This window comes from Homo sapiens, chromosome 17 (genome assembly GCF_000001405.40).
Source record: "Homo sapiens chromosome 17, GRCh38.p14 Primary Assembly".
Classification (NCBI taxonomy): Eukaryota; Metazoa; Chordata; class Mammalia; order Primates; family Hominidae; genus Homo; species Homo sapiens.
Genome location: NC_000017.11, coordinates 63,144,316 through 63,170,850, shown reverse-complemented (window position 1 = coordinate 63,170,850; position 26,535 = coordinate 63,144,316). Strand labels below are relative to the sequence as shown.

The 26,535-nt window shown below is 36.3% G+C and overlaps 1 protein-coding gene across 21 annotated transcripts in view; it reads right to left on the bottom strand.

Annotated features, from left to right (window-relative positions):
* Positions 1 to 26,535, bottom strand: part of TANC2 (tetratricopeptide repeat, ankyrin repeat and coiled-coil containing 2) — a 461,469-nt gene that overhangs the window by 256,853 nt on the left and 178,081 nt on the right. For 10 of the 21 annotated variants that reach the window (XM_011524597.3, NM_001394998.1, XM_006721810.4 and 7 more), the window contains exon 5: positions 19,471 to 19,581. The exons of the other annotated variants lie outside the window; for them this stretch is intronic. In XM_011524597.3, coding sequence (XP_011522899.1) covers positions 19,471 to 19,581 — 111 coding nt within the window. The remainder of the gene's footprint in view (positions 1 to 19,470; positions 19,582 to 26,535) is intronic. 21 annotated transcript variants of the gene reach the window in all.

The window sequence follows — 26,535 nt, the reverse complement described above, 5'->3', positions numbered from 1 at the left end:
CCAAGTCCAAATAAGACAGTTTGCTCAAAGAGATGGATCTTGTAGTCCAACTCTAGAAGCCTCCTTGAAAAGGGAACTTCTTTGTATTACAAGTAATCAACTGGTTAATAATACCATTTCGATTTCAGAATATATAGAATTCCCCAGAATTTAATGGGGATTCTGTGTCCAAATAGGTGGCATTCTAAGAGTCTTTTAGAGCACAGTCTACTCCTGTCTAGCTTCATTGTGAGCACAAAATAAAAAAATACTTTTACATACTTTAGTATGTGTGTGCAATTTAAAAATACAAATGCTAGAATTTTTCCCCCAAAGGAAATAATGGCAGGGACTTTTCAGTAATTGAAGACCTTCCAGCTGAGGATAACTAATAACAACTGAACAAAATAATTTTCTTTCTTTTTTTTTTTTTTTTTAAATGGAATCTCGCTCTGTTGCCCAGGCTGTGAGAGCAGTGGCACGATCTCGGCTTACTGCAAGCTCTGCCTCCCGGGTTCACGCCATTCTCCTGCCTGAGCCTCCCGAGTAGCTGGGACTACAGTCACCCACCACCACACCCAGCTAACCTTTTTTTTTTTTTGTATTTTTAGTAGAGATGGGATTTCACCGTGTTAGCCAGGATGGTCTCAATCTCCTGACTCGTGATCTGCCCGCCTCGGCCTCCCAAAGTGCTGGGATTACAGGTGTGAGCCACCATGCCCCGCCAATAAATTTTTTTTTTGAGACAGAGTCTTGCTCTATCACCCAGGCTGGAGTGCAGTTGGAGTGCAGTGGCGCGATCTCCGCTCACTGCAAGTGCCGCCTCCTGGGTTCACGCCATTCTCCTGCCTCAGCCTCCCGAGTAGCTGGGACTACAGGCACCTGCCACCGCGCCTGGCTAATTTTTTGTATTTTTAATAGAGACAGGATTTCACTGTGGTCTTGATCTCCTGACCTCGTGATCTGCCCGCCTTGGCCTCCCAAAGTGCTGGGATTACAGGCGTGAGCCTCCGCACCTGCCATAAATTTTTAAAATTATTATTATTATTATTATTTTTTGAGATGGAGTCTCACTTTGTTGCCAGGCTGGAGTGCAATAGCGGGATCTTGACTCACTGTAATCTCCGCCTCCCGGGTTCAAGTGATTCTCCTGCCTCAGCCTCCCAAGTAGCTGGGATTACAGGGGTGTGCCACCACACCCAACTAATTTTTGTATTTTTAGTAGAGACGGGGTTTCACCATGTTGGCCAGGACGGTCTCCATCTCCTGACCTCATGATCCAATCCCAAAGTGATGGGATTACAGGCATGAGCCACCATGCCCGGCCATTTTAAAAATTCTTAAAGCATTAAAGAACTGACATGATGGTGATGAATCACCAAGACAGTATCAGGGAGAAGATGGAATTTAGAATGGAGGTACTGCCTAGAGAGAGCCACTTCAGCACTGGGAAGCATCTGTTAACCAGGGAGAAATGACTGATCAGCTGGAGAGAGAGAGAAAAAATCATCATCCTAGCTTCATTTATTTCTACAAATATTTCCAAATACTGAATCTAACATATACAAATAATTAGGGGCATGAAAATACAAAAGAACTAACATAAGTAATAGGCAATGGAAATAGTAAAGGTGAGCATTAGAGGACTATAGCTAATCTCACAAGATAATTCTTAACACTGTAAAAATAAGGTGTAAAAGGGTTAGTGTCTTTGGGAGGATGAGTGGTGGAGATGGAGGAAGGAAAGAGAAAGTTACAGGAACAGGAGTCATTTGATGACCATTTCTCCAACACCACTAGAGGTAACTGGTTGAGGAAACTCTCCTTTCTTTCCTTTCCAAAGCAACTTCACATTTAAATTGTTCAGTCATGTATAATGAATCCTCCGGGTATAGCTAAATCATAATAGCTGAGAACAAATGATATTCCAAACAGTAGCATACATGTCTAAGCTAATAAAGGATCTAAATCAGGAACTCTTGATCTGAGACCCTCTGATAAATGCTGTTTGAGAAGTCTGCAAATCCTTTGAAACTGTATGTTTTAACAGTAAGTGAGTAACGGATATTTTCATTCTCCCACTCTCCAATCCTTCCTTGCCACCTTCTAAAAAAAAGTAAGGAATCCCACTAAGCCATAGCAAAGGTTACAAACTCAAATATCTTCAGGACACAAGCAGTTTTAACATATCTCACATAGCTAGGGGTAATGGTTATAGGACATGATAAAGTATATGTTGAATTGCAGAGTATAAATACAGCCTGAAGGCATTCTAATTTTTAAGTATATGCTGGCTTACCAGTTTTTGGATACATTCTCTAGAATAATTTGTTTTAAAATTAAATGTAAGTTGGAAGTTAAGATGGTGGTCTGAGATGTTTTTCATAGTTTCACATCTCTCACTGTGAAGGGTCCAGAGAACAGAAAGGTAGGAAGAATGGTCCCTTGCAGGTAGGTAGAAAAACTAGATCCATATTAAGCTATCAATGGCACGAGTCATTATTAACATGCAACTGGGGAAAAATAATGCCTAATTAGGGAAGCCACACAAAATTATATGAAATCACAGGACCTCATCTCTTGAAAAGTATGTGTTTCTCTACTTACCCTTCCTCATCCCCTCTACCTCTCCTCCGAAACTACTGCCTTCTTTGATTTTTCTTTTTGAAGATATGAGAGTCTTGCTATGTTGCCTAAGCTGGTCTCAAACTCCTGGCCACAAACAATCCTTCTACTTCGTCCTCCCAAAGTGTTGGGATTACAGGCACGAGCCATCGTATCTGGCCAGCTACTGCCTTTTAAAAATTAACTCACCTAGGGCATAAGTTAAAGAATCAATTTTTAGGGAATTTCTCTAGTTGCAGAGGGGAGTATTTAGATGCCTAGCTTTAGGGTATAGAATGGGAGCTAGCAATAATGCAACTTGGTTAGAACACTCTAAATCTTTTTTTCTTTCCTTTTCTTTTTTTTTTTTTTTTTTTTTTTTTGAGACAGAGTCTCACTCTGTCACCCAGGCTGCAGTGCAGTGGTGCGATCTCGGCTCACTGCAACCTCTGCCTCCTGGACTCAAGTGATTCTCCTGCCTCAGCCTCCTGAGCAGCTGGAATTACAGGGGTGAGCCACTGTGCCAGGCCTGAACACTCTAAATCTTTGATTCTTATTAATTTTGGTTTGTTCAGACTAGTTTTCACATAAAACTATTACACTGGGCAAACAAACCTAAATGTTTTATTTATTTATTTTTTGGAAACCCAGACAGTGGGCAAAATTTTGTATGTAAGTGTAGTTTTCTATAGAGTTAATTAATACATTTCATCAGTTTTTTAAAAGGGCATGTGACCATAAAAATTAAGAACCACTGAACTAAAGATAAGCAAAAATTAAGCCAGTTTAAAAATGAAATAAACTAAGTTAGAAAACAAAAGAAAATAACATTCACTGTAGTGTACCCATTAATGAACAGATTGTCATGTAAATGCCACCAACCCAACCACATTTTCTGAAATTTTATACTTGTAGAACATACAATATAATTATATTTTTTCATTATATTATCATTTTTGAGTATTTACTATGTGCTAAGCCCTTTACTTACTTAGGTAATATTTAATTCTCATGACAATGCTATGAGGTAGGTATTATTACCTCTATTTCACAGATGAGGAACCTGAGACTGAGGAGGTTAAGTAGCTTATACAAATGTACAGAGTTCAAACTTAGATCAAAGTTAGTTTCTAACCATTAACCAATGGTTCTTGAATTTTACTGTGTGCACAAGAATTACATCTATGGCATAGCGTCAATGAATGGCACTGGAATTCCCACTACCAGAATGCTTTCTTTCTCCATTCATAATTCTTTTCCCTCTCCTTCCTTCCTTCCTTCTTGTATTCTCTCCACTCACCTAAGCTTCTGTCTCCTTTTTTTCTCTTTCTTATTCCTATCCCCTTAACTGAACTGCAGACCTACCAGTAGTGCTTATGGGCACCATTCTTAGCCCCACAGGAACACATAAACCCTATGTTTCAACCAAACCCTTACAACTCGAACATTTTCCCCATATATATGTATCTGATGAGAAAAGAAGCTTTTGTAGCCATCTGCATGGGGCTGTGGAGATCTAACACTGTTATGGGTAGAAGTGGTATACCTAAAGATGCCAGCTTTGACTTCTTACAGGGTTCTTCTCCATTAATGAGAAATTCAACCAATGGGACAAGTTCTAATATTCTCAACATTACTGTTCTGAGCTCCACATTCAAACCTAAGGCAGTGAGTTTAATGGTTTTCTTTTGCAGTTAGAATCTTAAATTCTCTGACCTTTCTTTCAGAGCTCAGGACTCCTAGCAGAAGCTAATAAAGAATATAAGTTTTATAGAAATCTATGCTTCTACGATTAAGTGATTTTCTAACTATTTGCCTTTGTTCCTTTATATGCTTCCTAAAAACAGTAAGTAAATTTGTCTACTTAGTATTTAATAATCGTACATAACTTAGACATACACAGATAAATGGAAAAAAAGTCCTCCAAACAATCTCTATCTCTCTCTCTCTCTCTCTCTGTGCTATCTAGGAATACAATTTTTATGACATTACAAACTCTTCCTTTTGCATTAAAGAATTCATTAGTTTGGCACTTTGGTAGGGGAACAGGGTTTCAAATGCTTACACTACAATCTTCCATCACAACTTCCTACTCTTCTGATTCTCTCCCATTGGAAACTGGAATCACTGTAGAGATGGGATATACAGAGGTGGAAAGTATTCACTGTTTAGCAACTCTTGCACTAGTGTTTCCTGGCATACAAAACTGCCCCCAGTCTACAAGGGGTACTACATGCACATCAATGTATGATGATGACTATTTGGCTTAAATGGGATACAATATTTGACCAGCTCAAGAACCTTCAGTGCTTGACTGAAATTTCTAAGACTGATATTTCTTACTGAAATGTTCCTTTGGGTTTTAAACTGAGGTTTCTATTGTTTGCTTTCAACAGACATATGTTTGACATACAAAATATGGTAAAGATCCACTACTTCTGCAGTGTTATATTTCCATATTATTCCCTTATTGGCCTGGATTTCCTCATCAATAGCACAATTCATTCAAATGTGGAAAGAAAGGCATTGATACACTGATCAGAGTAAGGAAAGTAATATCATATCATCAAAAGTCACATTAATCTAAATGACAAATTTATTTTCTGTTGGTTTCCAAATCTGGGATGTTTTCTAGAAGTTGCACAATAAATAATATGATGTAATTACCTAGGCTTAAAAGAAAAGCACCATTCTAGGAAGAAGTAATCCACTGCAGTGTAGCAGTACAGACCGGGTAATGGGAAAGACCTACAGACCGTTATAAGAAGGGCAGCAGGGAGCTTTTAAAATGAAAAGGCTAGAGTATCAGTAGCACTATGGAACTTTTCTGTTGGAAGACAAGGATGAACAATTCATGCTTCCAGGCAATGGAATGGCACATATCAAATACGCCGAAATACAGAGAAGACACACTAAACCAGGTATCTCCAATTTGAAAGCTTTTTGGGCATAAACTGGAACTTTGTCAAGTGCATTTCTTTCTTTTTTTTTTAAATAGGGTCTCACTCTGTTACAGCCCAGGCTGGAGTGCAGTGGTGCTACCATAGCTCACTGCAGCCCCAAACTCCTGGGCTGAAGCGTTCCTCCTGCCTCAGCCTCCCAAGTAGCTCAGACTACAGCCACCACGCCTGGCTAATTTTTATTTTTGTAGAGGGGTGGGTCTCGGTATGTTGCCCAGGCTGGACTCAAAACTCCAGGCCTTAAGCGATTCTCCCACCTCAGCCTCTCAAAGTGTTGGAATTACAGGTGTGAGCCATTGCACCTGGCCAGACAGTGCATTCTGATGGTTAATTTTATTTGTCAACCTGACTGGGCTAAGAGAGAGCCAGTAAAACAACATTTCTGGTGAGTGAGGGTGTTTCTAGGGGAGATTAGCATTTAAGTTGGTAGACCAAGTAAAGAAGATCATCTTCACCAATGTGAATGGACATTGTCCAATCTGCTGAGGGTCTGAATAAAAGAAAAAAGTAGAGGAAGGGTGAATTTGCTTTCTCTGCTTGAGCTGTGACATCTATCTTCTCTTGCTCTTGGACATTGGTGCTCCTGGTTCTCAGCCCTCTGGATTCAGACTGAGACTTACACCATGGTTCTCAAGCCTTTGGTTTTGGACTGGATTACTATACCACCAGCTTTCCTGGGCTTCCAGGTTGCAGGTGGCAGTTCTTGGAACTTTATGGCCTTCATAATTGCCTGAGACAATCCCTCATAATAAATGCCTTTCTCTGTATCTTTATCTATAACCTATTGGTTCTGTTTCTCCAGAGAACCCTGACTAATACATTCACTGCTTCATTTAAAACTTATAATTACTGCAGTTATAGCTTCAGTTTCCTTTGTATTTACTGTGATGTGTTTTGGCTTTTATATAAAAGTATATTGACTAAAAATATGTAATATACTTCATGCCACTTTCATGAGGTCTGGGTTTAGAAAAATCTCTCATGGTGCCATATTAAGATTTTGATGCTGGCTAGGCACAGTGGCTCACACCTGTAATCCCAGTATTTTGGGAGGCTGAGGTGGGAGGGTTGTTTGAGCCCAGGAGGTTGAGGCTGCAGTGAGCTATGATCACACCACTATACTCCAGCCTGACCAACAAAGCGAGATACTGTCTCTTACAAAAAAAAAAAAAAAAAAAGCTGCTGATGCTGCAGCTAAGATTTGCTAATTTATCTCCCAGTAGTGATTTGTTTTTCTTGATCAACACAGAAAGGAATGTTCAAGAACAAAAGTAACTTAGCACCCATTTGTACTGTATCTTTCCCTACTACTACTATTTAAAAAATTTTCAAAGTATAACATTATTCCTCTCATCAATATGTAGCCAGTCTTTAAACAGCCAAATGTATTTATGCCAAAAAACAAACATGTATTACATACATTATAGAAAATTACTATACCCAGTTACTATCTTGGACTATATTTACTGATTTAAGACAGATATCCTTAGAATAGGATTTCCTAAACTAGGATCCAGGGAACTGAGATTTGGTTTGTGCTAAATGAGCTACGCTAAACTACGAGGTCTATGAATACAGGATTCTATTCAGCATTTTCATCACTGCATCCCTTGTGTTCAGACCAATGCCTACTACTATAGTCGTCAACAAATATTAAATATTAAACAAATATTAAATATTTCCTTTCAAAGAAGGAAAATATCAGAATAAAAGGTAGTGGTAAAGATTAGAGATGTATAATAGTATATAGTAAGTTACTTTCTTCCGTAACACTCCAGCTTAAAATCCTACATCATCAAATTGTACCAATAACTGTCCTTCCTTCTTGTAGTTTCCCTAGACTTCAGGTCAGACCACTCATTCTTTGAAGATTATAGCTATTGGTTTACTCTCATACTCTCCAACAGTATTACAATAACAATTTTTCTATTCACACAGATGATCTTCTGGCCTCAGTTTGTTGACTTCCTCCCCTCCGGTGATCTCATTCCCCAATCCTCTTTCAGTCACCCACTCCCATAGTTATATTCTTAACACTGTCATTACTAATGACTACAAACTGTCCATAACCTTAATCTTAAATGCCTCTGACAACCACTTGATATTTCTAGCTCATTTCTTTGAGCCTATTGGTACCTAAAACCCACTGAATCTACAAAAGTTCACTGTCCTTCACCCCTCATGTTCTCATTTCCTCTCCTGCTTGGCTTAGATTTCACAGTCATCACCATAATCACTCCTTTGCAAATACCCTCAACTCCCTTGATCCTCTTTAATCTTCTCATTCCAATCTGGCCAAACCCCAACCCTGGTTAAGGTCCAATTCTTCACCTAATGTGTAACTCCAGTATACAGTTCCAGTACAGTTAAACGTGTCTGCTAACAAGTCCCTCGTTAAATTAATGACCACTAACGTTAAGTGGGACATTAGTACTGCCCAGCAATCCTACTACATTTCCCTAATCCATTCACTCTCGGAACACATTCCATGGCTTCTTCTCTTTCTTCAAATCTCAATATTTCTTTCCTCATCCTCACTTTCAGCTGGTTACATCACTCTCCATTTAATTTAGAAAATAAAAACAATCAGAAGAGGCTTTCTACCAGCTCACGTCACCATATCTACCTACTTACCTGCTGCATCTGTTCCCATAAGATAACCTTTTTTCTAGTTAGTTCACTCCTTTCCATAGTCAACCCCTTCATTTTTGCTTTTTATCTCATTTGTCATCTACTCAAGTGTGTTATTTCAGCATTTCCTATCTTTCTTCTGCATCATCAATTTCCTCTCTCTACCAGAGCACAGCATTCTAGTTTATTTAAAATAAACTGAAATTTATTCTAGTTTAGAAAATCCTTGCTTGTCTCATAGTCTCCTACAGCTACTTCCCTACTGCTCTGTTCCCTTTCATCACAGAATTCTTTGAAAGAGCAGTTTATACTCATTGATTACAATTTCTCTTTCCCACTCACTTTTAAACCCTCAGTTTTGTTTTTTTTTTTTCCAGACAGGGTCTTGTTCTTCACCCAGGCTGTAATGCAGTGACACAATCATACTTCACTGCAGCCTCAAACTCCTGGGTTCAAGTGATCCTCCTGCCTCAGCCTTCCAAGTAGCTGGAACTACAGGCACATGCCACCATGCCTGGCTTTTTATTTTTATTTTGTAGAGTTGAGGTCTTGCTATATTGCCCACACTGGTCTCCAACTCCCGGCCTCGAATGATCCTCCCGTCTTGGCCTCCCAAAGTGCTGCAATTACAAGCATGAGCCACCGCGCCCAGCCTGCAATCAAATTTCTGCCATCAAGATTCTACCAAAGTGGCTTGTCAAGATTGTCAGTAACCTGCAGGTTGCAATTTTAATAGTGTCAATGCAAAGTCTCAATGAAAAGGTGACATTTTAGCAAAGATCTTAAAAAAGGCAAGGGAACAGGGTAGGGCTAGTATTAAAAATATTTAACAACTGGGACAGCATGAGCACCTACTACTAATCGGTGGATGTACACTTGAGCAGGGTCTTAGAGGTCATCAAAGTAAATCTGGTGATGACAGCAGAGTCATCAATATATACATGTCCTTAAAAGATGTGGGCCTGAATGAGAATACCAACAAAGTGAGCACAGAGAAGATATCTATGGTCCAGGTCTTAGAGTATTCCAACTTTTAGAAGTGGGAGAAGAAAAGGAAGTAGCAAAATACACTATGAAAATGATGCCCGAGAATTAGGAAGAAAACAAGAATAAGGTGATAACTTGGAGTCACAGAATAAGTGCTTTGGGGAAGAGGGAGTCAGTAACTGTGTTAAGTGTTGCAGGTAAGTTAAATAAAATGAGAACTGGAAACAAGCATTAGATTTAGCAATGCAGAGGGAAGAAAGTGACTGCAACAAATGGAAAAACACAAAGCTGTTCAGAGTATATGGAATCTACCTATTTTATTTTATTTTAGACATGGTCTCACTCTGTCACCCAGGCTGGAGTGCAGTGGCTTGATATCGGCTCACTGCAACTTCTGTCTCCTGGGTTCAAGCGATCCTCCCACCTCAACCCCCCAAGTAGCTGGGACCACAGGTGCACACCACCACACCTAGCTATTTTTTTGTATTTTTAGTAGAAATGGGGTTTTGCCATGTTGCCCAGGCTGGTATACATTTTATTTCACAATGGTTATGAAGAAAACTTTTGGGTTTTGAGAAAACTCATTAAAGGATGAGGCTTCAACTGCACTTTCAGGTAGCGAGCAAGCCTATCCATCCTTTTTCGTTTGGCAAGCCTTACCACTCCTCTACATCCTTTTCAGTCATAATACATCTGGGTAAGGAGACACAGTTAACATGTGAACAAAATCAAATACACAATGCTTTTCTATATAAGACAGACTATAAAAGCCAAAAATATTTGAGGATGACCATGGGGGGTTAAAGTGATACAAAAGGCTTCTGAAGGACATGTGAAGAGACAAACACACATAAATTTTAAAAAAGCCAAAAGCAATACTCATCAAAAATATGTAGTATTGGTGAAAGTTCTGAGGAAAATATTTTGATACATTTCTGGAAGAAATGTACCAGAGGGAAATCTAGTAATATAAAGATTTAAGATTTTGAATAATCCTGGATTTCTATCAATTCCATTTCAAGGAATTCATTCTAAGGAAATAACGGTAGATATGAACAATCATTCAGCAATTAGTATGTTCACTGAAGCACCTTTATAACAACAAGAAATTAAAACAATTTAAATGTTCAGCAACAGTATATTGTTTTTTAAAAATTATGTTACATTTATATAATGAAATGCCCTACCAGGAGAAAAAATGATGGAATAGTTGTTAAGGTAAAAACACATACAACGTAATTTTAAAAAGTCAATTTCAAAACATGATATATACAATATCACCTTAAGTTTTTTAAACTATTTTTTAATTTTGTGTAGCGATGGGGTCTCACTATGTTGCCAAGACTAGCCTTGAACTCCTGGCCTCAAGCAATGCTCCTACCTCAGCTTCCCAAAGCAATGGGATTACAGGCATGAGCCACTGTGCCCAGTCTATCGCCTTTACTTTAAAAGTACGTATTATGGACTGAATGTTTGTGTCTCCCCCAAATTTATTTGTAGAAACCCTAATTCCCAGTGTGGCTGTATTTGGAGAAAGTAATTAATGTTAAATGAGGTTATAAGTGTGCAGCCCTGATCCAAATAGGATTAGTGTCCCTATAAGAAGAGAAACCTCTCTGCTCTCATTCTCCCTCCCTCTCCTGACATGCATGCACAGAGGAAAAGCATGTGAGGACACAGTGAGAAGGCAGTTATCTGCAAGCCAGGAAAAATGCCCTCACCAAAAACTGAATCAGCCAGAACCTTGATCTTGAACTTCTAGCCTCCAGAACTATATGAACAGTAGTTTGTTGTTTAAGCCACCCAATCTATGGTATTTTGTTATGGCAGCTTGAGCAGATGAATAAAATACAGCCTTTTCTCAGTATCTGCAACAGACTGATTTCAGGACCCCCCTCCCAATCCCATACCAAAATCTGTGGATCCTCAAGCTCCTTGTATACAAAATGACGTAGTATTTGCATATATCCTACGTATATCCTCCCGTATATTTCAAATCATTTCTAGGTTACTTACAATACCATATGCAATGTAAATGCTATGTAAATAGCTATTATACCATATTGTTTGTATTAGTTTTTACTCTTGTATTATTATTTTTGTGTGTGAATTTTTTAAATCTGTGGTTGGTTGAACCTATGGCTGTAGAACCTGTGGATATGGAAGGCCAACTGTATGTAAAAAGATTGCTAGGCTATATTCCAAAATATTAACAATGGCTTTCTGATTAGTGGGGTCATGGATTATGTATATTTTCTTATTTTAGCTTAGTTGATATTTTATATAATACGGATAACTTTTTAAATAAGAGCTAAAAATATTTTCAAAAGACAGTGAAAACATTCTTCAGAAAACTTCCTGACAGTACTTATGTTTCCAATAGAAACTAGACACTTAAGTTTATTTTAAACCAAGAGAACTAAGATCATAACTTCTTCAATGGGTCCCAATAATCCCCGTCCCTTCTGTAATCATGACCTTTTGTAATTCCCTCCACTTGAGTGTCTTGAGTGTGAGTTGGACCTACTGGCTGGCTTCTAATGAAGAGAATATGGCAAAAAGTGATAGAATGTCACTTCCATGATTAGGTTATAAAAACTGTCACTGTCTTGCTGGTACCCTTTCTACCTCTTGCTTGCTTGCTCTCATGAAACAAGGTGCCATGTTGTGTGCTGCCCTACGGAGACGCCCACATAGCAAGGAACTGAGGGTGGCCTTTGGGTGAAAACCAGTGAGGAATAGAAGCCCTCAGTTCAACAGCCCATGAAGATCTGAATCCTTCTAATAACTATGTGTATAAACACAAAAGAAGATCCTTCCCTAGTTGAGCTTCAAGATGACTACAGCCTCAGCTGTCACCTTGATTGCAACCTGTGAGAGCCACAGAACCCTGCTATGCTGCATTTGGATTCCTGACACATAGAAAATGAGATAACAAATGCTGTTTTAAGCTATTACATTTTATGGTAATTTGTTATGCAACAATAGATAACTAATACAAATACCTACTCTGAAGAACACTCAATAAACAGAATTTAACCAACACTTCCTGCAAGTCTTACAAATTTAAATGTGATAATTTATAAATTCTAGATAAGAAAAAACAAAAAGACTAAGAGGATTTTAAGTGACTTAGAGGTAAAGGATGGCAGTGGAAACATCAGATACAGAATTCCAGCTTCTTGCGTGTCAAAACCCAAGTGAAGAGTACCTTTCTGTCCCTTCTTTGCTCCCACAGAATTCTTCCTGAACACTGCGCTGCAGGAACATATGTTCTGCTTAAGAAACACATTTTTTTCCAAGAAGTAAATGTGTAATAGTATATACATGTGAGAAATATGTTGTTAGCAATAACTGATGTTCCAGGCATTGTGCTAAGTAAATTATAGGTACTAGCTTATTTAACTATCACAAACACCTTATGGAGTGAGTGATATTACTATCTTCATTTTATAGACAAGGAACCAGAGTAGATTAGAGATATTAAATAAAAGTCACCAGCTAATAAAGTAGCACAGCCAGAACTGAACTCAAGCTTCTCTGTTCCCAAGCCTGAACTAGACACCACTATGAAAAACTGACCCCATTAAAAATAAACACGCATACACACAACACAACTTAGTATTTATATATAGACTGCATGTAAAGATGCCCAATAACTACAGTATACATGAAATTTTATTCTTTTTGTGAAGCATTCATTGAAAAAAAGATATAACTTTACCTACAATATCCTTAGATAAAAGGCAGTAAAAAGTCAACATAAAACATTATGAGGCCAGGTGTGGTAGTCACTCCTGTAATCCCATCACTTTGGAAGGCTGAGGTGGGAGGATTGCTCGAGCCCTGGAGGTGGAGGCTGCAGTGAGCCCAGACCCTGCCACCGCACTCCAGCCTGGGTGGCACAGTATGACTCTGTCTCAAAAATAAATAAATATATTTTATATTTTTATTTTACATATTTTATGTATTTATGTATGTTTATATTTTTATTTTACATATTTTAATATGTCGTATCTTTACAACCTTCCTGTGATATAGGTAATATTATCATCCCCATTTTACAGAGGGAAATTAGGAAATTAACAAATCATGGTTAAGTAATTTGCCCAAAGTCACACAAGTAGTAAGTAGCAGAACTGGTATATGAACACAGGCAGTCTGGCTCTAAACCACTGGCATTTTACTCTAAACCAGAACATTTTACTTCTTCAAAAGCTGGAAGTTAAAATGGTTTTACAGTTAATGAAAATATTGCCCCTTTGGATATCTAACTAAATTACAGATCTAAACACCACATTCAGAGGCCAAGCCTTCAGATTTTGTGATGTAAAACACCTTAGAAAAGTTATCTAAAAGTTAGTGTGATGAGATTATTAACCTTCTAAATGCTGGGGCACAGAAAATCATACCCCAAAATATGGTCTCTTGACATGCTGAACTAAAGAAGCAACCTCAAGGGCTTTCTGGCCTCCCCTCCCACTTCCTGTCTCAATCTTCTGCCTCTCCCAAAGCATAGGATGAGGCTGTTCTCTGAAGTTCCCTTATCTGCCTAGAAACTGGACCCACCAAAGAGGAACACAATTGTCCCCGATCCCCTTCCTAAAATTTCATTAGCTACAGAAGATTAAAACTCACATCACAAACAATGAAAAACTAAAGATCAGGAAAACAACTAAAAATGTTCAAAGTAGGGTGGGCATGGTGGCTCACGCCTATAATCTCAGCAAAAGTGCTGAGGGAGGCCCAGGTGGGAGAATCACTTGAGGCCAGGAGTTCAAAACCAGCCTACACAAAATTGTGAGACCCTGTCTCTACAAAAATAAAAATTAAACAGGTGTGGTGGCATGAGTCTGTAGTCCCAGCTACTCAGGGGGCTGAGGCAGAAGGTTGCTTGAGCCCAGGAGTTGGTGGTTGCAGTATGCCTAGGCAACATAGGGAGATCTCATCTCTATTTAAAGAGAGAGAGAGAAAAAAAAAAGAACTTACATGGATAGGAAAGTTTGGGGAAGAAAAGCCATTTATATTCATATTCTAGTTCTTATGCTTATTTCCATAACCAGTAATAAGGCAGTATCTCATACTTCTAATACACAACTTATTTCTGTTTCATTTGTCTCCTAATCTCTACTTTAGACTTCATATCCTGATAGGCCAATCCCATAGTTCTATTATTTCCTTTTTCATTCTCCTCTCAAGTCTATCCACTATACAACTTCTAGCTTTTTGTTCTTGTTGTTCTAATAATTAACAGGTGCTTTTTTTTTTTCCATTTCAACCTTTACAATAGCATTTCTTCTTTCTTTTTATTTGGTGCAAGGGAGGTTACCAACTGTTTTGAGAACCTGTGATTGGAAAAAGTACATATGTACATGTAGCAAGTTTTTACTTATCATTTTAAAGGGCTAAGACTCCCCCCAAAGCTCATCAATTTTACTCAGGTTAAAAATTCTGTTTCATACTTATTGTATTTACAATAAAGCAGAATACAAACACAATATAACAAAAGATATGAAACAGGAGGAAAAGGCTCTTGGTACTCATAGGACAATGCAAAATCATACAGAAGATTTTATGTACAAGCACATAGTTTGTAGCAAAACCAAAGAAGCATGGTTAATTATTTAGGATAAAGATAACATTTTATAATGTTCTCGGAAATTTTTTAAATGGAAGAAAGAAAATGAAAAAAATATCATCCTTTGATTTTAATGGAAATGACCATGACTATACAGGAGTTGGGAAAAGACAGTTCAAGGAACTACTCACTTTAAATAAAACACTTTGTTTACAATGGCTTGTGCTTATGCTATAGAATGTACAATACAGATAAAAAATCCAAATGAAAAAAATTTTTACAGGTGCAGAATATACACAAATATGAATATGCACTAACTGTAATCAAACTGTTTTCTCTTTGAGTTTTAAATATATGCTAATTTTGCTGTCACCTTAAATAACACTGTCCTTTGAAAGACACTACCGTTTTTTAAGAGATTTAAAAGAATCCATATAAAAAGATTAATCTCAAATTCCTCTGAATATATTTGGTGTTGATAAAAGCCTGCCTATTTCAAGACTGGTGTGGGCTTTGGCCCTTAACCTTTCATGCACATATAGTCAAAAGTCCTATAAAACTGTCAACTTGGCCTACCATTATCTGTGTCAAAGGTCACTTCTATACTTGAAATTTTATATTATAATGTGAAACAGAAACACTTAAAAAACTAAAATAAAAACAGAGTATCACCATCATTTAGTGTCATCAGATTACTGAAAATTTTCAACAGAAGTTCATTGTAGAAATTTTAGAAAATGCAGAAAAGTATAATGATGATGATGATGATGAGTAACAGAAAGGGTGCTAATGTCTTGTTTATTTTGCCTGAGCTAAGCATGTGGCATATACATTATATTTCACTTAATCTCTGTAACAATCCTATGAGATGATAGGTTGTTTTGTTTTTGTTTTTGTTTTTTTTAAAGATAGGTCTATTTTTATCAGTCACACAGCTAGTAGGTGGAAGAGAAAAAAATTAAACCTAGATCTAACTCCAGAACATAAGCTCTTATTCACTAATACATGCTGCCCAAGAAAGAAAATTAAAACCACCTGTAATGCCACCAACCAGATATAATCTCTGCTAACTAATATTATCTCACAACAATCCTACTCTAACTTTCCAATAATTCAAAGTCTCCCCTCCTTAGGCAACCAGTGGTACGGTTTGGTGTATTCTTCCAGAAATTTTTTCCTATGAATATATATTCATGTATCTATATAAAAGCATAATTTGTTAAATTATAGAAATAATGTTGCTGTGACAGGAGACTGTGGAATGGAAAAGTTAAGTGACATGTTCCAGACCATAAGATTCATCAGAGAAAAATCAGAATTGAAATGCAACAGGACACACTTAACAAAAAATGACCCTAAACCTTTAAGTATTTTTTCTGATTAAGACCTTGTCTTATACCTTAGGATCATCACTGCAAAAATAATAAAATCAACTAACAATTATGAGCACTGACTATGAGCCAAGCATTCTTCTAAGTGCTTTATATATATTAAACTGATTTAAAATTATCATCTCTATTTTTACAGATGAAGAAACAGGTAGAAAGGTTAAGTGACTTGCCCCAAATCACACACCTAATAAGTAATACTGTAGATAGAAAAGTGATAGAGTGTAGGATGAATCTATTTTCTTATTTTGGAAATTGCTTTATTGAAATCACTAACAGTTGGTTACCCTTTTTCATAAAAATAGAATATGACTATCTCATACTTAACTGAATTTTCTGCTTTTAAATCTAAGGACAGTAAGGAATGCTCATGGAATTTACACAGTGACAGGATTAGAGGGCAATATATTTTTGGACTATATTGTGTCCACTTCAAGAGCTGAACAACAAATCCTGCTTGTGACCCTAGACAAATCACTTGAATTCTCTAGATCTTAGTTTCCCCACTGTGAGACAATTAACACACACAATTCCCGGAACATCCCCTTTATTCTGGTAGTTTACTTAACACCATCGATTATCTCCACAGTTGTAGCTGCAGAACCAAAACATACTGTTTGCTTGTATTTTTCCCACATTTTTTGCATACAACAAATGTAACTTGAGGAACAGTAAACCTTTAATTAGATATTATAGAAGATAATGCTATATAATGAATCACTCAATTTAATATTCCAGCTCAACAGCTATACTCCAGAGTAGCTTTCCCTACACTTTTGGACTTAACCATCAGTGAATTGGTTTGGTTTGATCCACAATTTCCTTTTACATGCAGGACAACACAGAAAAGTTAGACGTGGGTACACAGATGTCAGGTACAAAAAGACATACCAAGAAAAATATATAAGTCTATTTCTCAGACACAAAAGCTACCAAAAGGTTTAAGTTTAGATAACACAGAAACAACACTGGCAGTTACTCCCCAGATATCAATAGTGGTAGAAGGAACCCCAAAGACTTTCAGCATTGTTCACTGAACCACTGAACAATGACTGTACAGTGAGTAGCCTGCAGCAGCCCTGTAACCCAATTGGTTCTCAAAGCATAGAATCTCAAACAGCAGCTTCAGTATGATCTGAGATTTTGTTAGAAATGCAAATTCTTGACCCACTCCAGACCTACTGAGTAAGAAATTCTGGGGGCCCACCAATCTGCATTTGGACAAATCTTCCAGGTAATTCTGAAGTAAGTTAAAGTTTGAAAACCACTGCTCTAACCTTCAGTTTGTGATTGTTGCCTCTGGGAGACAAAGTATTTTCCTAAATTTTCAGGTGATAATGAATAAAGCAGGCAGACAAGAAGGTATCAGAACACTAGTAGCCTTAACTGTATTACTCTGTATGAATGTACAATAAAATATCATCAGTGGTGTTAGTATATCCTATGTGAAAGAAATTCAAAAATTAAGTATTATTTCACTTTATAATACTAAAATTTGCATGAAAAAATGCAAAATCTTTTTGGTTTGTGAGTATACTCATCAATTCATTTGGTTATTGTTAATTTTTGATACTATGTAGAGATAATAGCTTCAACCCTCAGGTTACCATTCTTATCTTGGTAGAAACTAATTTTCAGAGCATCTAATAACTTGATTAGAGATGAGCAAATCACTATAAAGTTTCTATGCTTTAAAATTGTTTCAGATAAGAAAAGGAAAGACTTTTTTAGCAGCACTTTGATATTGTGTTTTAGTTTCTTCCTTGCTTTCTAAAAATCATAACCGAGCTTTAGTTTAATTCTAATTCAACAAAGAATTCATGCCTGTGGAAAATATACATAAATAATCACCTGAGTAAGACTTTAGCTTTAGATTAGATTAAAGATGTCAGATGGGCAATCAGGAAGTGAAAGATTAGGCCCCCATGACAGTCATTCTGACTTGCAAATCTGGAAAAGGCCTCTGATAGGGTTTTCCTTCTAAAACTCAAGAAAGGGATAGAAAATTAGCACACTTATTTTACTTTATAACACTAAAATTTGCATGAAGAAATGCAAAGTACAATATTCGACTGCCCAAGAAGCGTGACAATACCTCAAAACATGAAAGATTCTTCTAATCGTGTGCTATAGTACCATTTAAAGAACTACTTTGTTCCTTTTGAAAACAGAAAAGCTGGTTCCTAATACAAAACTGTGATTGATTTAGAAAAGAATGGTTATCTATAAGAGTGGATGAAGCCGTTTCAATACCCCGAAGGAAAGCAAAATCCCCAAGGTCTTTCAGTATTCAAAATTGACTCATAAAATGAAACGTCTCTCATTTTATGAGGTTTGGCCCAAATTTTCTCCTACTGTTTTGTTTTTTGTTTTACTATGTCCTATCTGGCTTCGAAGGTATATTATACTGACATTTCAGATCACAGATACTGATATCTTCCCCAGAACTAGGAATCATTTTACTCTGCTGACCCCTCATGCTGTAAATATGTAGTAGTTGTATTCACTGTGGTTTAACATCAATTTTAATGAGCAGGAATAAACAAAAGACCTAAAACCAAGTCTTCCAAGGTCCTTCCTTTACTAATGCTCTAATCTGTATACTCAGCTAGAGCTGTGAACATTTCTGACACAGCTCTATAGACTGACTGTAGAGAGAGTGTAAAGGATGTTGCCAGGCAACTCATCTAAGTTTGAAAGAATCTAAGCATTGATAATGAGTCTTTCTCAGTTTGGCTCCCACACAAGAAGGGTTTTAGTGAACTCTCACATGTGTTTACAGGCCATTCACAAGAGGTATTTCTAAAAGTAAGTATCTGTATCCAAAAGGAGTCCATCTCGGAAACCTATATTTCTTTTCTAATTCAAGTTTAATGTTTCCAGCATCACAAGTATTTTCTATAATCACCAGAAATCCAACAGGAATTAGGCATAAAGGTTGTATGCAAAAGTGTTGCATAGAACACTTTTGTGTCTAGTGTTGAATGAATATTCTTATTCACATCTTCAACATTTCTGTTTGCACATGGCCACAGCAAAATTTCTTTAAGTATCTCAAATCACAAAAGTAACCCTACTTACCTAAAACTACTTATCTACCAAAATTATTTTAATTCTTTTGAAAATTACCTTTGAAATTATTTTCAATACTTACTCTCATTATTGTATCAAAGTCAAAACAGGGCATTCAGTAAAAACTATGTTCTATTAAGAAGAATAGGCAATCAGTTGCAAAAGAGGTAACATGTTTTTATGAGTAGTATACATGCAAAACACTGCTCTGCTGGATGGGCCTGATCCAATCCTCCCTCTTTCAAAGCAGACACTTTGCATGCATGCTTACCAGGGCAGTATGCATCCACGTCCAGTTTCTGAGCTGAAGTGAGGGTTGGTGAGCCAAGCTCGGATTCTGGAATTCGTGGGCTCTCAACAAACTTTGCCTTCCTCAGAGGGGCTAAGAACAAAAAGAGAGAGAGAGCAAGCAAGAGACAGAGAGAGCAAGAGAGAAAGAAAGAGAAAGGAAGGGAGAGAAACAGGGAAAGAGAAGGAAAAAGGGAAAGAGAGAAACATAGAGGGGTCATGAGTAAGGGGAACAGCAGGCAACAGATGGAAGCACTTAAATGAACGACACACTCTGTCAGACTCAGATCAGGTTACCCTATTTTTTGAGCCAGAAAAAAAAAAAAAAAACTAACTGCATTCTTCATAGAGGAGATGGGTCTTGTTAAAAGTCACTGAAAACTGGAAAAGCTAAAATCTAATATTCAAAACTATTAGTATAAATTGTGATTGTCTGTTACCTTATTTCTCTCTCTTTATAAAGCAAAGAGCTTTCTTACTTTGGCTTCTTTTGCCATTAAATACAGATGTTAACTAAGGAAAGCACAGGACTATGTTTCAAGGTTTTGTTTATAATAACTGTAATCAAAAGGTTTTTGTTATCCAGAAATAACTACTCTAATACTTGGTCATGATAAACACCATAAGTAGGATTAAATATAAGCCATCAGGCCTAATCTACGTAGCTTAACAAGAAAATCAATTACCTTACTTCTCAGCTATTAATGTAAGAAGTCAAAACTGCTGGTGGACTAAAGCATTAACTAGGCCCTGCTAGTTTGACACTAGAAGCTAAAGACATGTGATTTAGTTACCAATTTAATCATGATGCCTATGGAATATTAATATCTCATGCCATGGAATCCATTCATTCTTGTAAGGAATAAAGTATAACTCATGAATTGAAAGTTTTACTTATTGAAAGTATGTACACATTTTATTTACTAATTTTTAGGAGGAAAAATTCAGGAATGCTATTGATACACATTCGAATAATCAGTTATTGTAAAAGTTAAAATATGAGGATTGCTTAGGTGCTTTCAAACTGAGTTCTATTAAATAAACTATAATAGGGTGACAGTGCTTAGCACAGTACTGGCACAAAGTATTAGTTGAATCTGAAATTGATTTGTTTGTATTATATATTAGTGTCATAATCATAGGTGGCCAAGACATGTGTCTAAGATCACATTACTTTTCTCAAAAGTTTCTGCATGTTCTTCAAAGTCCTCATCCATTACTGACCCACAAGAGATTCTACGTTATTCCTAAAAGACCCTGTAAAAAGTAATATACAACTCTGTTATCACAATGGTCAGAAATCTCCTTCATTTTCTTTGAAGGATAAAAATCAAGTATTAAAAGTATATAGAAACTATTTTCAAAATGTGTCAATACTCAAAACCAACAGACAACTAAGTCACGCTTTATACCTTAGGGTATGTATATTTTCAGTATATGTTAAAAAATAATAAAGCCTGTTACTGTCTCCATGGCAACAAAGGCCTAACATTAAGAGTCCTAACAGTATGGTTCTGTCAAAAGCAAGCTTTGGAATAGCAGAACTCTCACCTTTGCTATGAGTGTGAGACTTGAGCCTGTTTTTAAAAATCATTATTACAAATAAAGATCTCAAGTGATTTATATGTATATATGCAGGCTACTAATAGCCAATATTAGAATCTCTTTCATTATAATTTCACCAACAGATTTAAAAATAATGAAACAGTTTATTTATTCAATACTGCTTAGTATAGGAAAAATGATTATATAGTAATTTAATCCTTAAGGCTCTTAAGTCCTTTACTAGAATTTTATTAAAGCATTGTCATGGCATCAGAGTAACTGTTTTACCTGCTGAGTTCTGACAAAGACAGCACAGGTCCCTGCTCAAGGGACTCTATATATCTTAAAATCTTAAAAACATTTTTTAAATAATGAAATTTAGGGCTAGTAGACAGACCAGAAACTTAAGGTAGAAATGTAAGAAAAAAAGTGAAGGATGGCAGGAGAACTTAAGGGAGGTATGAGGCGTGTACAAGAATTATGAGATGAAGTCAAGGGAAAAGATCAGGGTTCTAGAGATCATACAGAAAAAAGGAAATAGCTGAAGACTGTGAAGAGAGTATGGACTATATGGTGTTAATCAGAAGTTAAACAGATCTGGCAGAGGAAAAAAAATAAAACCTCTTACTAAAATACACAATTCTCCAGCAAAGAGAGTTATTTTAGATCTATGAAGCTCGATGTATACCAACTTCTTTATTTTCCCTTCTCAGGAAATTCCAACTGAGGTTATCTTTATAGCTCACAGGAGACATTTAATTCTTTCTTCTATCTACTCTTCACCTCTTCCCTCATCCATGGGGTACTGTGCTTGTCTAATAATAAAGTTAAACTGTTTTATAAGGTAGATGATAATGGTGTTCTCATCCAAGTCACAGAAAACTAGTGTCATTTGTAAGTCAAACACAGCAGGGACAATCACAGATATGATAAGTTGAACAATAGTCATAATATTGCTTGGTGGAGAACATAGAAGGGCAAGTTGGAAGATGGGGCATAATGTTTTACCTGGAAGCCTGGAATTTTAATATGCTTCATTGTAAAAAATGGTACATAAGATGATTCATGTGAGTAAGAGAATTCCACATTAAAAGGCCTTCTCTGATAGTTAAAAGAAGAAAGAAAGTGGTTGAGATGAGATGGGTAGGAACAATCTAAAGCCCAAACTTGGCATTTTATTGTGATGTAAGAGATAACAGAAACTACTGCACAAATAAGTGATTGGAACTGACACTGGGAACATCGATTCTTATGCCCTCAATGACTTGAGTTACAGAATCTGGCAGAGGTTGAGCAGATGAATGCATATCGGCTTAGAGGTTAAGTAGAGTGATCTGAAAAATCTAGGTCTTGATTCTAGCATATATTAATAGTAAGAAATTAGGCAAGTTATTTAGCCTTACCAAGCCTCAGTTTCCTCATAAAGTCACAGTATTGTTATGAGGCTTAACTAATTCCAAACATGTATAAGTATTTAAGCACAGTGCTTGGATACAGTGATATAGCTCACTTATTAAGTTTATTAATACATGGACTAGTGAGGGCTACGGCTACAGAAAACAAAGTAAGAAAGTAGTTTCAGACATACTATAGAGACAGCATAACATGGCAGCACATTAGTGAGGAATTTGAGAGTGCAGGAATTAAGGGTAAGGGCTCTGAAACCAGAATGCTTACATTAGAGTCCTATTTCATTCATTTTTTTTCTAGCTGTAAGAACCTTTCTGTGTTTGTTTCCTTTCATCAGTTATTTTGGGCTAATAATATCAAAGACAATTTGTGAGGATTATATTAATTCAAATAAAATCCTCAAAACAGTACCTAGCCCAGAATAAATGTTCTAAAAACATCAGCTGTTATTATTGTTTTTGCTGTTGTCATCACAGATTCAGCATGATTTGGAAGTCTGAACCGTGCATATATGTTGAGGCATGGGGGTAGTAAAACAAAGATGTCTAAGGGGATGTGAACAGTGATATCACCAATTATTTTTTAATTGAGAAGGGAATCATGTTGAAGAAAATACAATATGTTATGCCTTAGTAGAGTATCCAAATCAAAATGGTCTAAGTTAGACAACAATAAATATGTGGTACAGAATGGAAGTTAAACAGTATTCTTTAGACCATGGGTTCACAAAATGTGGTGCCTGGACCAGCAGTATAATATCACCTGGGAATTTGTCAGAAATGCAAATGATCAGGCCTCACCCCAGATAAGCTGGGTCAGACACTCTGGAAGGTGGGGGCCCAGCAATCTGTATTCAGCAAGCCCTGCAGGTGATCGTATGGCACACTGAAGTTTGTGAACACTGGATTAGAGAATCCACGAACACCACATGCAAACTGCTCATTAAGAAAATTTTCTTAAGAAAAAAGCTGTAATGAAATACAAATCAAGGCCTCATCTGTGAGAGTATCAACATGTGTGGTAAAGTTAGAATTTCTTTTCTTTTTTCTTTTTTTTTGTGAGACAGGGTCTGGCTCTGTTGCCCAGGCGAGAGTGCAGTGGTGTGATCTCAGGTCACTGCAACCTGCAACCTCCTCCTCTCAGGCTCAAGTGATTCTCCCATCTCAGCCTTCCGAGTAGTCGGGACCACAGTCATGTGCCACCACGCTTGGGTAATTTTCGTTATTTCTTTTTTTTTTGGTAGAGACAGAGTTTTGCCATGTTGCCCAGGCTGGTCTGGAACTCCTTGGACTCAAAAGATTTGCCTGCCTCAGGCTCCCAAAGTGCTGGGATTACAGGCATGAGCCACCCACGCCTGGCTATTAGAATTTCTTTTCAGTCATTCTTTTACCGATTTAACTCTTGTGTTGTTGTTGTTGTTGTTGTTGTTGCTGTTTTTTAAAGAGTCCTAAGTTATAAAGTATTAACCATATGGGGTCTATTTTGAAGAAATAACAATACTATCTATACTCACTAATTCTTCCCATGATCACCTGGGAGGCAGGTGGTTGAGGGAGGATAAGAGCAATCAGATTCATCACACAGGAATGCTAATGGTGAAAAGAGAAAATCTACCTATCGAGGTTCCTCTGTATGCTGGAATGCTGTAGATAATGTTGAAGTATATCTAGTCAAAGAAATATAAGGGCATTAAAATAATAAATAATTACTGAGGTATTGTCTTTAGTAAATGTTTCATAGCAGAAGGGATTTTTTAGGAGGAAACTGGCAGAAGACTCAGATAAGAATATACAGAGAGAACAGTATGGAGGCAGACCAAATGAAAGCAAAGATCAAGAAAATGTAAAATGAAAGATAAATATAAAGATAGGCAGAACAATAAAAGTACCAAGAAAGTATTTTCACAAAGTTGGATTTGAGATTATAAAGTATATTTAGTAAAGTTAACCTGAAGATAACTTAATAAACATTAATTGTCCAGTGTGGTAGGAAAATAAAAATGTTTGTGCAGGCAAGAAAAAGAAATACAAGGCATCCAAAGTAGAAAGAAGTAAAATTATCTGTTTGCAGAAGACAACTTATATGTAGAAAACCCTAAAGACTCCAGAAAAATACCTGCTGGAACTAATAAATTCGGTAAAGTTGCAGGATACATAATCAACTCACAAGTTAGTTGTATTTCTATACACTAACAATGAACAATCTGAGAAAAAAAACCTAAGGAGACAGTTCAATTTAAAATAGCAACAACAAAAAAATAAAATATGTAGACATAAACTTAATCAAGGAAACAAAGGACTTGTGCACCAAAAACTATCAAACATTGCTGAAAGAAATTAAAGAAGGTACAAATAAATGAAAAGGCATCCATTCTTCATGGACTGGGGGACAATATTAAGATGGTACACCACCCAAGTGATCTATAGATTCAATGCAATCCCTATCAAAATCCCAACGACTTTCAATGACTTTTTTTTTCCCCAGAAATAGAAACATCCATCTTAAAATTCATGTGAAATCTCAAGGGAACCTAAATAGTCAAAACAATCTTGAAAAAAATAATAAACTTGGATTTCTCACACTTTCTGATTTCAAAACTTACTACAAAGCTATAGTAGTCTAAACAGTATGGTACTGGCATAAAGACAGACATATAGACCAATGGAATAGAAAAGGCTGGCCAGAAATAAACCGTATCATCAATAATTTTTGACAAGGGTATTAATACCATTTAGTGGGAAAAGGACAGTCTTTTCAACAAATGGTTTTGAGGAAACTGAATATGCAAAAGAGTGAGGTTAGATCCTTATCTTACGTCATATAAAAAATTAACTCAAAATGGATCAAAGACCTAAAAATAAGAGCTAAAATTGTAAAACTCTTTGAAGCAACATAGAAAGAAAAGATTTGAACTATAGAATTGTAAAGAAGTAGAGAGAAACATTGAGAAATTTATCTGGAAAGAGAAAACTATATTTTAAAAAGTTTTAACAAAGCTTTCATATGCAGAATCTTATAACATTTTAGTTCCTAAACATTTACTAGAAAATAAACCTTTGAATATCATGAATTTTCTGTAGTGGGAGTGGGAAAGAAGGGTAGAAGGAGAGATAGTGTTTGTGTCATTCTTTGTTTCCTTCTTATTAACCCTGGATCTCTGTTAGGTTTAAAATCTGGAAATAGGTGGGAAGGGCATCCTCCTACCCTATCTAATGTGCTGATTAACTATTTCTCATGATTGTGCTTCAACGGTGACATAAGCAACATCCTGAAGAAAGCAGAAATGCAAGGAGATTTTCCCTTTTAATTATTCATTTCCTGCAAAATGGTGGGGGGATCAAGAACAATAAATAAAAATAAAATAAAGCACACACAAAAAAAAACAGAGAGAAGGAAAAACCAGTAGAATCTGACATTTTGGCACAGGGTAGATAAAAGTGAAAAATGGTGAAGAGGAAAAAAATGATAATTCATATTCCCTGTTAATTCTGAGAAAGTAACTATCTAAAGAAAAGAAAAAAACAAAAATAAAAAAGATACAATGCAGAAAAAGAAAATGAAAATTTGATATGATAATCTTTATCAAATAAAGCCTAGTCTATTGTAGAAACAATTTCTGACTCTTCATAATGCAAATAAAACTATACTTCTCTGAAACCAATTATAAATTAATACACAGCTGCAAAGTATCTTTCTAGTTATTTCTTCTATGTAAGTATAAAAAAATGAAGTACATGTTTTATAAACCTCTCATCTCCCTCTATCTTCCCCAATACTACGTGTTATGCCTTTTAGTTCCCTACTCGACATACTCCAAATTTCATATAAAAACTGTTGTGTGTAGTTTTACATCCAATTTATGCTGAAGTGTCAAATAATTGGAACACATTTATTTAAATGTGAATGTATATTATTGTAGCTAGAGATATAGTATATGTATACATTTCTGAAAACAGACTATTAGATATCTGATTTCTCTGTGATTTATACAAATATAAAGGAAATATAACATGTATGCAGTGTGGCAAAATAAAGATGACTTTGTTTACCAATACAAATATCAATTAGTATGTGGCCACTAGTTATCTACTAT